This window comes from Homo sapiens, chromosome 16 (genome assembly GCF_000001405.40).
Source record: "Homo sapiens chromosome 16, GRCh38.p14 Primary Assembly".
NCBI lineage: Eukaryota > Metazoa > Chordata > Mammalia > Primates > Hominidae > Homo > Homo sapiens.
The window spans coordinates 89,158,607-89,171,094 of record NC_000016.10 but is presented as its reverse complement, the minus strand read 5'-3'; the positions used below and the strand labels follow the sequence as shown (position 1 = coordinate 89,171,094).

The following is a 12,488-nucleotide window of genomic DNA, read 5'->3' as shown; positions in this document are numbered from 1 at the left end:
CCCCTCGCCTCTCTGGCTGCGTCTCCTGCGCCTCCCCGCATCCCACTGAACGCTAGGCCCGCCTTCCACGCACCTCCTCGCGACCTCATTTTGCCCAGCTCTTATTCAGTATGGAACTGCTCTGGTTCACACGCCTCTGATACCAGCGTGGCTCGTAGGACACCCCCAATTCCCCCAGTCCACGCACCTCCTCCAGCATCCCCTTGTTCCCCGAGGCCCCCTGCCTGGAGCACCTTCCTTCCTACAGAACTCCTTCTCATCATCCCTCAACACCCAAGGTCAACGCTGCCGCCTCCTGGAGCCTCCTTGCCACCTCGGCCAGAAGCCCTCCCTCCTGTTGACTGTGGCACCTGTTCTCCCCTTCGAGACCCCGCCCCCTGGGATGGTGTGGGTGTGGCTCAACACCTGCACAGGCCCAGCGCACGGTCAGGAAGGTCCTGGAGAGGGGGTGGAGGGGGCTGGAGGCAGGAGGATCCTTTCTTTTGAGCAGGCAGGGTGGGGAGTGGGGGTTGCCGACCAGCCCAGGGCCGGGCCGGGGAGCCCGTTCCTCTCTGTGATGGGAGCAGACCCGGTACCTCTGCTCTCCTGTCGACGGCGGGTGGCTGTGCAGGTGCAGGCAGCATCTGTGCACTTGGCCTGCTTGAAAGGAGGCCAGGCTGCCCGGGAGGCTCAGGCCAGGACTGTCCCTAGCGCTCACTGCTCCAAGATGAGAGAGGGCAGGGAGTCCATCTCCAGACTGGGAGGCCTCTGGGGCTGGGGTGTAGCCTGTTGGGGACCACCATCCTGCCTCTGTGGTCAGTGACCTCAAAATAGGGGTGGAGAAGCCCTCTGAGTGCTTTTGGTTTTCATCCTCACGGGACTAGTGCAGGGGTGAGGTAGAAGTGCTCGCCCTCCCCCCAGAAAGAGGTCTGGGGAGGCTGCGGTCTGCCAACCCCAGCTCCTCTCCGCTTCCACCCTGCACCCACCTCGCTTCAGCCACCTGCCTCCCACCCACCTCGGGGAGAAACGGAGGCCAAATCCCTCCTCCATGGGATGTGGGGGTCTCTAAGGGAAAGGCTAAGCTGGGCCAGGTCCTGGGTGAGCCCCAAATGCAGGGCGGGGCCAGGGAAGCAGCCGGCTTAACCACTGCGGGAGGGTGTGCTCCCTGGCTGGCGGGCTATCCCCCAGGGGCAGGTGCCCCCGCGAGGGACCCCGCTCCACATGCTCCCAGGGCAGCAGGAAGGTCAGGAGGCAGGAGCCTGGGTCCAGTCCCAGCTCGGAGCCTTGGGCTGGAGGTTCTCCCCCGTGCCTCAGTTTCTCCTTGTGTCAGAGGTAGGTGGCAGGGAAGGGCTGGGTACCCTGAGTCTGGAGGTCCTGTGCAGTGGGGGCAGGGGTACATTTTCGGCTGCAGGACCATCAGCCCTAGAAGAGCCCTTCCCTTTCCTGGTGGACCTGGAGACGCCGGACCCTCCCTCAGCACCCCAAGCCTCCAGCTAGGACCCCACTCTGGGCCTTCTCCTCCTTTTTCCAGAGTCTGCAGTCCTGAGCCTTTGGGACTCACCCCCATCACTCCTGCCCTCTGCCTTGCCCACCTCAACTCTCCACCTCGGGGGACGCACCTCATGGGCATGAGGTGGGGGTGGGCCGGCCAAGATGTAGAGGGGGCTCCCTGGTCCACAGCCTCAGTTCCCATCCTATTTCCTCTCCCCAGTATGAGGAACGGGGGGACAACAAACAGGGTCCCGGACCCCCCAGGAGCCTTGCAGTCTTGGATGTCCCAGAGGTCCCCCCACCCCCAGCCCTTGGCCACTCCTCCCAACACCGCAGGCAGTGGTCGAGGCTGGGCTAAGGAATTTCCAACTTTCTCACGATAGATGCAGGCGGGTGCCGGTTTTCAGCTGAGATGCCATGGTGTCTGCTCTGGAGTGATTCTGTAATTGCACAGTGCAGTAACGGCACTTGACCCTTGATTATTAAATTGTATTTATGTAATTACAGTGTATAAATATACATGCACACCCCAACCACTAAGGGGCAGGCGTGATGCGGAACGCTGCGGTTGAGCAAGGTGGGCTGGACAGGGGCCCTGTGGAGGCCCAGGGCTTAGGCCAGTCACAGCCCCGTTACCGAAGAGGCAGTGGGGGCTGGAGGGCAGGGGTTAGCAGCTGTGAAGGCGGCTCCTACCCAGGGTGTGGGGCGTGGAGGGCAGAAGGGTGACGTCCAGGGAGTTTGGGTGACACCCGACACCAAGGGAGGGGACCCCGGGGTGAGGAGGCCCTGGTCTTGGTCTGGGGGCTGTGTCCATTCCAGACCTGACCTGAGGCTGGGGTGCCTGTGGCAGGGGCTCTGGGGGCTTGCTCTGCAGGTACCAACTGCTCCCTGAGGAGCCCCTGGGCAAGTGCCCCTGTCTGACAGGCAGGGCCTGAGGCTGGAGGAGGCCGGGGTGAGGAGACAAACACAGGTGGGCCCTGGCCGGGAGCCTGGCGTCGGCCATGGGCCATGCCCTTCCAACATTCTACTCTGGCCGGGAGGCCGCCAGGGCGCTGGGGTGAGGCCGACACCCAGTCCTGGGGCCGTCAGAGCACAGACCAGCCCATCTAGGCAGATGAAGGTCCCCACGGAGTGAGTGAGGGGTGGGGAGTGGATCCAGAAGGGCTGGGGCCACCAGCCCCCACGGCCCCTGAGCCCTGGCCTGAGTGCATGTGGCTGGCTCTGGGTAGTGGGCCCTGCAGAGGGACTTCCGCCCATAAGTTTCCCGTAAGTTTCCCCGGGACAGAGGAGACGCAGCTGGATCTCGGGGTGTGGAGGAAGCCAGGCAGTGTCTGTAGCTGGGGCCATCCTGGACCCTGCTGTGCTCCGGCTCTCTGGGCTCAGGGGTGACACTGCCCCCACATTCAGGCAGGCCACCAGCTGCCCCTGGCGGCCACAGGGGGTCAGTCCAGGTGGGCTCAGAGGAGCCCCATCAGGTATGGGGGTGCCGTTTTTGTTCAGAAGCCCCTGACCCCCCCTGCAACACACATGAAAAGAATATTCGAGAAGTCTGTTTAAAACATCTTGGGCATTCAAAACACACGGACAGACAGACAGACAGACAGACGGACATGTTAGACAGGAGGGGCTGCTGGTGGGGGCGGGGTGGTGCTGGCCCTCCTGAGGACCTGGGGACAGCAGGTCCCTGGAGCCTGACGGTCAGTCCTGGCTCTACGGGGAGTTGGGCACAGAGGGGTCAGGGGGTGGCGGGCCTGTCTGGGGCTCCCTCAGGCCTGTCCCTGACCTGGGGAAGTGGGGTCCTGTCCTGCCCAGCCAGCCTGACACTGGTTTTGCGTCCCATCTCCCCACAGTGACAGAGGAGCCAACCAGGCACTGGCTCAAGGTGCAGCCGTAAGAGCTCGGGTGGGCTCAGGACTGGCGGGCTCAGGGCTGGCGGGGTCAGGGCTGGTGGCCTGGTGGCCCATCACACCCGCCAGCCCCGGCAGGGGGCAGTGTGGCTCCAGGGATGCCAGTGGAGGCGGGTGGGGGAAGGGCAGCGGGCTCCTCCGATTGCTGGAGGGTGTTCAGGGCAGAGCTGGGAGGGGACGATGGGCTCTTCCCTGCTTCCGTCTCCATGCTGGACATGCCTGCCCCCTCCAGGCCGGCCCAGCACTGTCACCAAGCGTGGACGCCTTGACTTCCTGCCCTTGGAGCCCCAACCCGGGCAGGGATCAGGGAGGCCAGCGGCCAGGCATGCCCCAGGGGGGGGCTGCAAGTGTGGTCCATGCCCACCACCCTTTCCCTGGCCCTGAGCACTGGGAAGGTGGGGGGCAGCTCACCTGAGGTCTCACCTGGCGTTGGCCCTGAGACCACCCGAGCCTCCCCGATGGCTGAGGCGAAGGCACAAGGGTGGCCAGGCCAGCAGGGACTCCTGAGGTCGGGCCAGGCCCCAGCAAGGCTGAGGCTGAGTGGGCGGAGCTGGCCACAGGGGTGGGGACGTGGGACAGCACTGTTGGGGGAACCAGAGAGCAGAGGTCACCAGGCTGCTCCCGATGTTCAGGCTTTCACAGGGATCCATAAGCTGCAATGGCCCCCAGTCAGCACCCTCCAAAGACAGGCTGTGGCTGGGGATGGGGCTGGGGCTGACGGTGGAGTGGCCCACACCCCCCAAGGCCCCTAGAGTCCTGACCATCCCCACGGGTAGTGCCGGAGCTCCCAGCTGCCTTGTGAGTCATGGGGGTGGGAGCCTCATTTGGCTGAACCTCAGAAGGGCAAGTGGGGCATGAGTGGCCTTGTCCTGCCCCAGCCCAGAAAGCTGTGGTCCCGGAGAGAGTGGCTGTCCAGCCCCCCACACCATGCGAACGCTCCCCTCCCCAGCAGATCCCACCCATGGCAGGCCCATCTCTACCCAGTTCCAGACATCTGTCCTCTCCCCCGCTGCGTGGGTCTGTGTCCCCAGCAAATCCCACCCATGGCCCATCTCTACCCAGTTCCGGACGTCTGTCCTCTTCCCTGCTGCGTGGGTCTGTGTCCCCAGCAGATCCCACCCACGGCAGGCCCGTCTCTACCCAGTTCCGGACGTCTGTCCTCTCCCCTGCTGCGTGGGTCTGTGTCCCCAGCAGATCCCACCCACGGCCCATCTCTACCCAGTTCCGGACGTCTGTCCTCTCCCCTGCTGCGTGGGTCTGTGTCCCCAGCAGATCGCACCCACGGCAGGCCCATCTCTACCCAGTTCCGGACGTCTGTCCTCTCCTCCACTGCATAGGTCTCTGTCCCCAGCAAATCCCACCCACGGCCCATCTCTACCCAGTTCCGGACGTCTGTCCTCTCCCCTGCTGCGTGGGTCTGTGTCCCCAGCAGATCCCACCCACGGCAGGCCCGTCTCTACCCAGTTCCGGACGTCTGTCCTCTCCCCTGCTGCGTGGGTCTGTGTCCCCAGCAGATCCCACCCACGGCAGGCCCGTCTCTACCCAGTTCCGGACGTCTGTCCTCTCCCCTGCTGCGTGGGTCTGTGTCCCCAGCAGATCCCACCCACGGCCCATCTCTACCCAGTTCCGGACGTCTGTCCTCTCCCCTGCTGCGTGGGTCTGTGTCCCCAGCAGATCCCACCCACGGCAGGCCCGTCTCTACCCAGTTCCGGACGTCTGTCCTCTCCCCTGCTGCGTGGGTCTGTGTCCCCAGCAGATCCCACCCACGGCCCATCTCTACCCAGTTCCGGACGTCTGTCCTCTCCTCCACTGCATAGGTCTCTGTCCCCAGCAAATCCCACCCACGGCCCATCTCTACCCAGTTCCGGACGTCTGTCCTCTCCCCCGCTGCGTGGGTGTCTCTGTCCCTCCCTCAGTGCCCCAGGCCTCTGTCCTTTATCCCCATAACCCAACACTGTGACAGGAGGGAGGGAGGAGGGTGGAAGAGGGAGCAGGAAGGGGCCGCAGAGGGGAGGAGGGGCTCCGCATGCTCTGGGGCCCTGGAAGGAAGGTCGTGTGACGGGGTCCTCCTGAGCATGCTGGGCCCATGGTAGGGTGGGCATGGGGAGCACAGGGCAGTGCCCCCAAAACCTGTCCTCCCCGTCAGCCACAGGCACTGAGCACCCCGGAGAGGGCAGTGAGAACTGCTGGCTGCCCAGGGAGGGCGGGCGGGGGTGCTGTCCTTTGCAAGGACAGGAGCTTCTGGGTAGGGAGAAGGGCACGGGGTAGGGATGGGAGTTAAAGGGACCCCGGCTGCATCTATAGTCCAGGGGCTGCCTCATCCCCAGTGTCCCTGAAGGTAGCCTGTGCCATGGGACAGTGGCAGTGCCCTGGCCACCCAGCCTGGCTCTTGGAGCTGGGTGGTGCCCAGACTGGAGGAGGCCAGGGTGGCTGCCTCCTGACCACCATCTTACTGTTCCTACCATCCCGTCTCCTGGGTGGTGGTTGGCACCTGTGGAGGGCAGGGCTGCCTCAGGAGCTGGCAGCTCTCAGTTCTGATCCCTGGACATGAAGAAACTTGGGGTAAGGCCCCCAGTCCTCAGAGAGACCCTTTGAGCTTCCGGCTTCGTCATCGGAGGAGCCCAGCATTGCCCTGGGTCATTCCACACCCTGCCCTTTGGGGGGGCCGGCCAGGGCCACGGCTGGGAGATGACGGTCCCATCTGCTAGAAGCTTCTGGAAGGATGGGCCGCCTGGTGGCAGGCGCTTCTGGGCCAGAGCTGGGTGGGAGGGAGGGCAGAGGCCAGGGGGCGTGTGCTGGACACGGAGGGCACCAGGTCCTCTCCGCTGCCTCCTGCTCTTCCCAGCACAGCTGTGCTTGGCACCCCTGCAATCGGGGCAGAGAGGAAGGGGTTAGGGGTCCCTGAGTCAGCTCAGGCAGCCCCGCCCCTCCCCACCTCCTCCATCGTCTTTCAATCAATATCAAGTGGACGGGAGACAAATTTGGGAGCAAAGAATCCCAAGCAGCCGTATAAATCACAGTAACGACCATTCAGATTAAATCAGTCGCTGTAATAGAATCAATTTAGCTGACGCTGCCAGTCTCCCCGCGTTTAATCTCCGTCTCCAGCTGCTGGTGGGAGAGAGGCTGTTCAGCGACCCCTCCGATGACCCCTCCAGGCCTGGCCCACAGGCAGGGCTCTGCGGCCGTCAGGGCTGGGAAGAAAGGCTGGGCCGTCCTGGGGGATCAGGGCTCCAGGGCCCAGCCATTCCTGTTATCCTCTTTCTCCTTCTCCAGACAGAGTGGACTTGGACCAGGGGAGGCCCAGAAAGAGGCCTGCACCCAGGATGGTTCAAAAACCATGGGACAGATCCGGAGCCTTCCCCAGGGCCAGGATTCCAGGCTGAGCAGCCACACCCCGGGATTGTGCCACTGCTCTCCAGGCTGGGCAACAAGAACAAAACTACGTCTCAAAAAAAAAAAAAAAAAGGAAGAAAGAAAAGAGAAAAGATATTGTTTATTAAAATGAAGTCCCTTGAGACAAGAAGTTGAAAAATCTTAGTAAATTTAACTAGTGACTGTAAAACAAAGCCTAGTAAACAAACAAAACTGAAACTGGACAAGCCCTCCCAAGATGGGGGGGAGGACTCTGCGGGTGCCCCAAGGAGGTCACTGCCTGTCATGGCCTCGGGGATCCGTGGGGTGAAAAGCTATAAACTTGGTTGGAAAAAAACCTGCAGATCTTACAGCATTTAAAAATATTAAAGGCTAGCTGGGCGCAGCAGTGGCACATGTCTGTGGTCCCAGCTACTTGGCAGGCTGAGGTGGGAAGATGGCTTGAGCCCAGGCTCCATTGCTACAACATTTTAAAAAGAAAATTAGCCGGACATGATGGCACATGCCTGTGGTCCCAGCTTCTCAGGAAGCTGAGGCAGGAGGATTGCTTGAAGTGGGGAGGCAGAGGTTGCAGTGAGCCAAGATCGTGTCACTGTATTCCAGCCTGGGAGACAGAGCGAGACTCTGTCTCAAAAAAACAAAAAACAAAAAATAAAACAACAAAAATAAGAAATGAGATTAATGCATTTGAATACATTAAAATTTAACAATTCTGCACATGCTTCGATAGAACAAACGAAGTCAAAGGCAAGCCAAAGGCCAGCCACGTATCCAACGTGTAATCACAAAAAATATTGACCAACCCAACAGGAAATGGGCAAAGAACTGGAACAGGTGACTTGCAGGAAAATCAAATGGCCCAGAAACATATTCGAGATGTTCCACCTGACTTGTAATCAGGGAAATGCAAGCTAAAATAAGAAGATTCCACGTCACACTCAGCAGCGTGGTGAAAACTCAACATCTCCCATCGGGATGTTGGCCGGTTGGTGAGATGGGGCATCTCACACCTGCTGTGCACAGCCTCCTTGGAAGGCATCAGGCAAAATCAAGTAAGTGGAAGACATCTGGGCCTACGATCCAGTGATTCCACCTGCAGGAATATCTTCTGGAGAAATTCTTCCACTGTGCAAAAGTCACTGCACCTGCAGCCGACTGTAGCTTTGCTCTTGGACGGGGAACATCCACTGGCTGGGGTCAGTGCACACCGCACAGAGTGACCTGAGGACAACCAAGTGAGGCAGAGTCAGCATGGGGGACAGCAAAGCCCACAGGAGCCGAAACGTCCCTCACAGAGGAGCTGAGCTCTGCGGGCCACATGTGCCAGCACTGAAACCTAAATCCATGACATCACTCAGGCATCGGGGCCCCCGTGAGCAGCGAGCCTCACGGGCTGGGGAAGGCGCCCACCTGGTGACAGAGCCCAGAGGCTCAGGAGGCCAGAGGGCTCAGACTCCATGAACCTGGGCGGGGAAGTGCACGGGGTTGGTTGGCCGTAATCTTCTCTCTTCCGTCCTCAATGTGTAAAATGTTTTTTTATTTAAAAAATGTTCTTAATCCACATTAGTAAATTTCACTGTCCTGGGGACAGCAGAAGCAGGAGGTGGACACGTGGGCTTCCGTGTAGACTGGGAGGGGCTGCATGGACTCTGCCCGCCAATTAGGAAGCGTCGGTCCCAGGCCTGGGCTCACCTCCCCAAGCTCAGCCTGGGGCCAGCTCTGCCGGCTCCTGAAGGGCCTTGAGGCTGCTCTGATCCTGCTGTGGCTGTCACCACAGCACGGTGCAGCCGCACCTGGGGCCCGGGGCAGCCGCACCTGGAGGGTGGCTCTGAGGCCAGATCTGTGTTGTTTATGGACACTTATGTGTCTGTGTGTGCTGTGCGTGCGTATTTGTGTGTGCACGTGCGCATATGTGCACACCTGTCAGCATGTGTGTGTATGTGCGCGTGTGGAGGTGTGTGTGCACGCAGCCTATTCAGCTGGTGTGGGGTGTCATCTTTTTCTAGCTAAGATGAAGCTCTTCCCCATGGGGTGGGAATATGGGCAAGCGGCTGATGCATGAAAGGCACCACGTGCTGCTCGCATTGCTGCTGTCTTAATGGGCTTTGCTGTGCGGCAGAGGAGGGTGGGCAGGTGGTAATGAAGGAGACTGATGACTCCGTGGCTAGAGTAACTGAATGGTTGTGAGTGTCTGGTCAGACTGGCAATGGGGGGCGTGCCCTGTGAGCCTATGATGAGGGGCTGCCTGGGTGGGCACCGGCTGGTGCTTTAGAGAGGACTGAGGGTGTGGCTAGGGCCACCACGTGTGAGTCCGTCTCCCTCCTCTGTGACACATGGGTGTGCAGGTGCGCCCACGTGTATGTATATGTGACACGCTGCACGCATGCTCGCTGATGCGAACTCACACACGCGCCCACGTGTCCCAGGCAGACTGAAGCAGGGCCCACAGGGGAATGAAGCTGGGATGGGCGCCACCAGAGAGGTCGCATCGCACAGGGGCGGATGCAGAACGGGGGCAGCGGCTGGCCCAGGACGGTCAGGGCCTGGCTGGCAGAGCCTGGGGTCCTGTGCCCACCCTGTGCTCCTAAGGCCCTGGGCCAGCCTGGGAGCACCATGGATTCTGAAGATGTGCTGACTGGCCTGCAGGCACCAAGCTCCACCCATTCCAGCTCCGACAGGGCCCTGGGGAGCCCACTGGTCAGGGACTGTGGGCAAGAAGAAGACCCCTCTGCTGAGCCTGCAGCCTGTGTTTGGAGCTGGGCTAGGAACCTTCTGGAACGTGCCTTCCACCGGACAGAACCTTCCAGAACGTGCCTTCCACGGGACGGAAACTTCCGGAACATGCCTTCCACAGCATGGAAACTTCTGGAACGTGGCTTCCATGGGATGGAACCTTCCGGAACGTGCCTTCCATGGGACAGAACCTTCTGGAATGTGCCTTCCACGGGACCCTCTCATGCCCTTGCACAACTGCACCATTTTCCTGTGTCACCGAGGAGGACGTGGGCTCCGAGCCGCTGAGTGACCTGTTGGGGGCAGGGCTGGCGCTGGCCGTCCCAGCTTAAGGACTTGCCACAGCTTAAGACCCATGGAAGGAAGGTACGGGGAGGTGCTGAAGGGATGAAGGGCAGAGCTGGGCCTTGGGGCAAGGCCAGTGGCAGCGCCGGGCTCCTGGACACAGCAGATGGCCCCAGGCAACTGGCCCTGCCCTGCCCTGGAGACCCCTCCGCCTCCGAGTCCTCCACGTCCTTCCACCTGGATGCCGCCACAGCCCACCTGGGCCTGGCTTCACGCCCCCAGCTCTTGCCGGGTATGACGGGTGGGCATGGAGGGTGACTCAGCCCAGCCCAGGAAGGACCAGCCGCGTGGCAGGAAGACGGAGGGAGTGCCCGGAGCCAGCAGGGCGGCCACCGAAACCCCGCACTGACGCAGGGACCGAGGCACCCGGGGCCAGTTTCCGGGAGAGCCCCACGATGGCCCCTCCATTCCTCTTAGGCTTCCCGCCCAGGGCGGGCTGGTGCGGGGACCGGGAACTGGTGTGACCCAAGACACATCACCCGCGTGTCCTCTCACATCCCATTCCACCAACACCAAGGTTCCTTCTGGAGGCTCCTGGGAGAATCCATTTTCCGCCTCTTCCGGCTTCGGGAGGCCTCTCCTTGGCTGGGGGCCCCTCACGAAGCCAGTAGTGGCAGGCCAGTCCCCCTCACGCCCGCCTCCGCCATGGCCTCCCTCTTCCACTCAGCAGGACGGAGGTACCCTGTGCCCTCGCGGGTCACCCAGGGCAGCCTCCCTGTTGAGGGAGCTGATGTGCCGTCCACAGTCGCAGGTCCCCGCTGCTGTGTGAACTCACAGGTCCCAGGGTGAGGAAGCGGGGTCTTCGGGGCAAGGAAGCGGGGGGTCTTTGGGTGAGGAAGCGGGGGGTCTTCGGGTGAGGAAGCGGGGGGTCTTCGGGTGAGGAAGCGGGGGGTCTTCGGGTGAGGAAGCGGGGGGTCTTCGGGGCCGTCATTCTGCCACCCACAGATGGGAGCCTCCTCATGAGGCGTCCGGCCTCAGTGGCAGCTGGAGAGCCACAGGGGCTGTGGGGTGCCCAGCAGGGCGGGCTCAGTACTGCCCGCAGGACCACCCTGCAGTTAGGGCGACTCAGCGGCTCACAGCCTTCTCAGTTCAGTTCCTATCAGCTGACCGAGGCGGCCCCACCCCACCTGCCCTTGCCCTAGGAGCTGGGGATCTCCATCCAGCAAGACTGCGAACCAGGCCACCTCTGAGACCGGCTGCCACAGACCACATGCTGGCCCTGGCTGCCCGCTAAGGCCAGGGGACACCCTCCTTGAGACTCCCAGGGTGATGCTCAGCTCCTGAGGACCGAGCGGCCTCTGCATGGCGCTCCGTCCCCATCCCTCCGCCTCTCCAGATCTGCCTGGCTCAACGCACAATCATCCTGGGCCCTCCCAGCCTTACCTGGCCAAACCGTGGCCTTGCCCACCTGCCTGGACCATTCCCTCCTGATTGGGTGCGATCTGCAGACAGCAGTGTAAGTACTGCATGGAGGAGCCGCGGCCCGACGCCCACAGCACGCGCCACGTCCGTAAGCTGCACCCAGTCCAGCCTGGTGGCTCCCCGTGTGAGCCTGAGCTTGCCGGCCAGAGGGGACGACCTTGGGCTTTGGCCCCAAGCTCGTGATTCACACCCTCGCCCTCAACTCGCCTGCCTCAGCGGCTCATGTGCAAAGCAGGCTGAGCGCGCTGCCTTCAGTGGGTGTGAGAACCCTGGGAAGGCACCTCGAGGGGTGTCAGAACCCGGCAGGTGCCTCCAGTGTGGGGTGAGCGTGCGCTGGGTATGTGGGGACCTGCGGCAGCGCCCTCCGCCCACCCTCAGACGGGCTGGTGCTCAGGGGGTGCCTGTTGGGCCCAGGACCCACCCCTTCCGTGCACCCGCCTGTGGGGACCTACGGGCTTCCTGCTCAGAGAGAGGCAGATGAGCCCCACGTTGCTACCGCGGTCGTCCATCCCGTGCTCTTGTCTGTGCCGGCAGCTGGCAGGAGATGCTGCGGCCGTCGTGCGTGATGGATCATGAGGTGCAGTCACGGATGTTTATCCTCCAGTGACCTCGTCTCTCTTGTGGCTGCTGAGGAGATGCACATGGGGCGTGATCATTCGTATTGATCAATTTGCTGCTCATTTGCCACGTCGTCAATGTTTTCACACAGGGTCCACTTTACTCTTCCAGGCAGGAAAGCGGCTGCACCGACCTGCGGCCAGGAAGAAGGGGACAGAATCGACTCCCAGGGGGTCTGGGGGGAGCAGGAGTCTGCTCTGGCTCAGGAAGGCTCTAGAAGGGCCACCAAGAGCAGCCGCAACAGTGCACAAGGACCTTGTGATGAGAGCTACCTGAGCGAGTCCCAACCTGATCAGACGCACCATGTAGGGGGAGCCGGGGCCCCATTGCAGCTGCCTCGGGGAAGCAGTGACCACAGGCCCGGCTGAACCTGATGGTGACGGGGAAGGGAGGGACTGGTGTGCACACAGGTGTCCATGTGCCTGTATGTATGCAGGTGTGTGTGTGACACACACATACATGTGATATACGCAGGCGTGTGAGATACACATACATGTGACATATGCAGGCGTGTGAGATACACATACATGTGATATATGCAGGCGTGTGTGAGACACATACCTGTGGTGTATGCAGCTGTGAGACACATACATGTGATATATGCAGGTGTGTGAGACA

The 12,488-nt window shown here is 61.7% G+C and overlaps 2 long non-coding RNA genes across 2 annotated transcripts, besides 4 other annotated features; both read right to left on the bottom strand.

Moving 5' to 3' along the window:
• Window positions 1,948-4,712, bottom strand: LINC02138 (long intergenic non-protein coding RNA 2138). Its single transcript, NR_046200.1, has 3 exons — window positions 4,596-4,712; window positions 3,789-3,958; window positions 1,948-2,986 (listed from the first exon to the last, which is right to left on the bottom strand). It is a non-coding gene; the product is annotated as a long intergenic non-protein coding RNA 2138 (long non-coding RNA).
• Window positions 2,628-3,475: an enhancer, noted in NCBI's record as "H3K27ac-H3K4me1 hESC enhancer chr16:89234028-89234875 (GRCh37/hg19 assembly coordinates)". NCBI's record gives its function as "activates a minimal SCP1, AML or CMV promoter by ChIP-STARR-seq in naive H9 embryonic stem cells {active_cell/tissue: H9 hESC(naive)}" and the evidence as "EXISTENCE:reporter gene assay evidence [ECO:0000049][PMID:30033119]".
• Window positions 3,476-4,324: an enhancer, noted in NCBI's record as "H3K27ac-H3K4me1 hESC enhancer chr16:89233179-89234027 (GRCh37/hg19 assembly coordinates)". NCBI's record gives its function as "activates a minimal SCP1, AML or CMV promoter by ChIP-STARR-seq in primed H9 embryonic stem cells {active_cell/tissue: H9 hESC(primed)}" and the evidence as "EXISTENCE:reporter gene assay evidence [ECO:0000049][PMID:30033119]".
• Window positions 4,713-7,419: 2,707 nt separating the features above from the next.
• Window positions 7,420-11,875, bottom strand: LINC00304 (long intergenic non-protein coding RNA 304). The gene is made up of 4 exons (NR_024347.2): window positions 11,705-11,875; window positions 11,214-11,387; window positions 9,536-10,879; window positions 7,420-7,973 (listed from the first exon to the last, which is right to left on the bottom strand). It is a non-coding gene; the product is annotated as a long intergenic non-protein coding RNA 304 (long non-coding RNA).
• Window positions 10,927-11,426: an enhancer, noted in NCBI's record as "H3K27ac-H3K4me1 hESC enhancer chr16:89226077-89226576 (GRCh37/hg19 assembly coordinates)". NCBI's record gives its function as "activates a minimal SCP1, AML or CMV promoter by ChIP-STARR-seq in primed H9 embryonic stem cells {active_cell/tissue: H9 hESC(primed)}" and the evidence as "EXISTENCE:reporter gene assay evidence [ECO:0000049][PMID:30033119]".
• Window positions 11,810-11,979: an enhancer, noted in NCBI's record as "experimental_46429 CRE fragment used in MPRA reporter constructs". NCBI's record gives its function as "activates a minimal promoter by MPRAs in K562 erythroleukemia cells, with activity observed for both the introgressed and non-introgressed 16:89225609 variant alleles {active_cell/tissue: K562}" and the evidence as "EXISTENCE:reporter gene assay evidence [ECO:0000049][PMID:34662402]".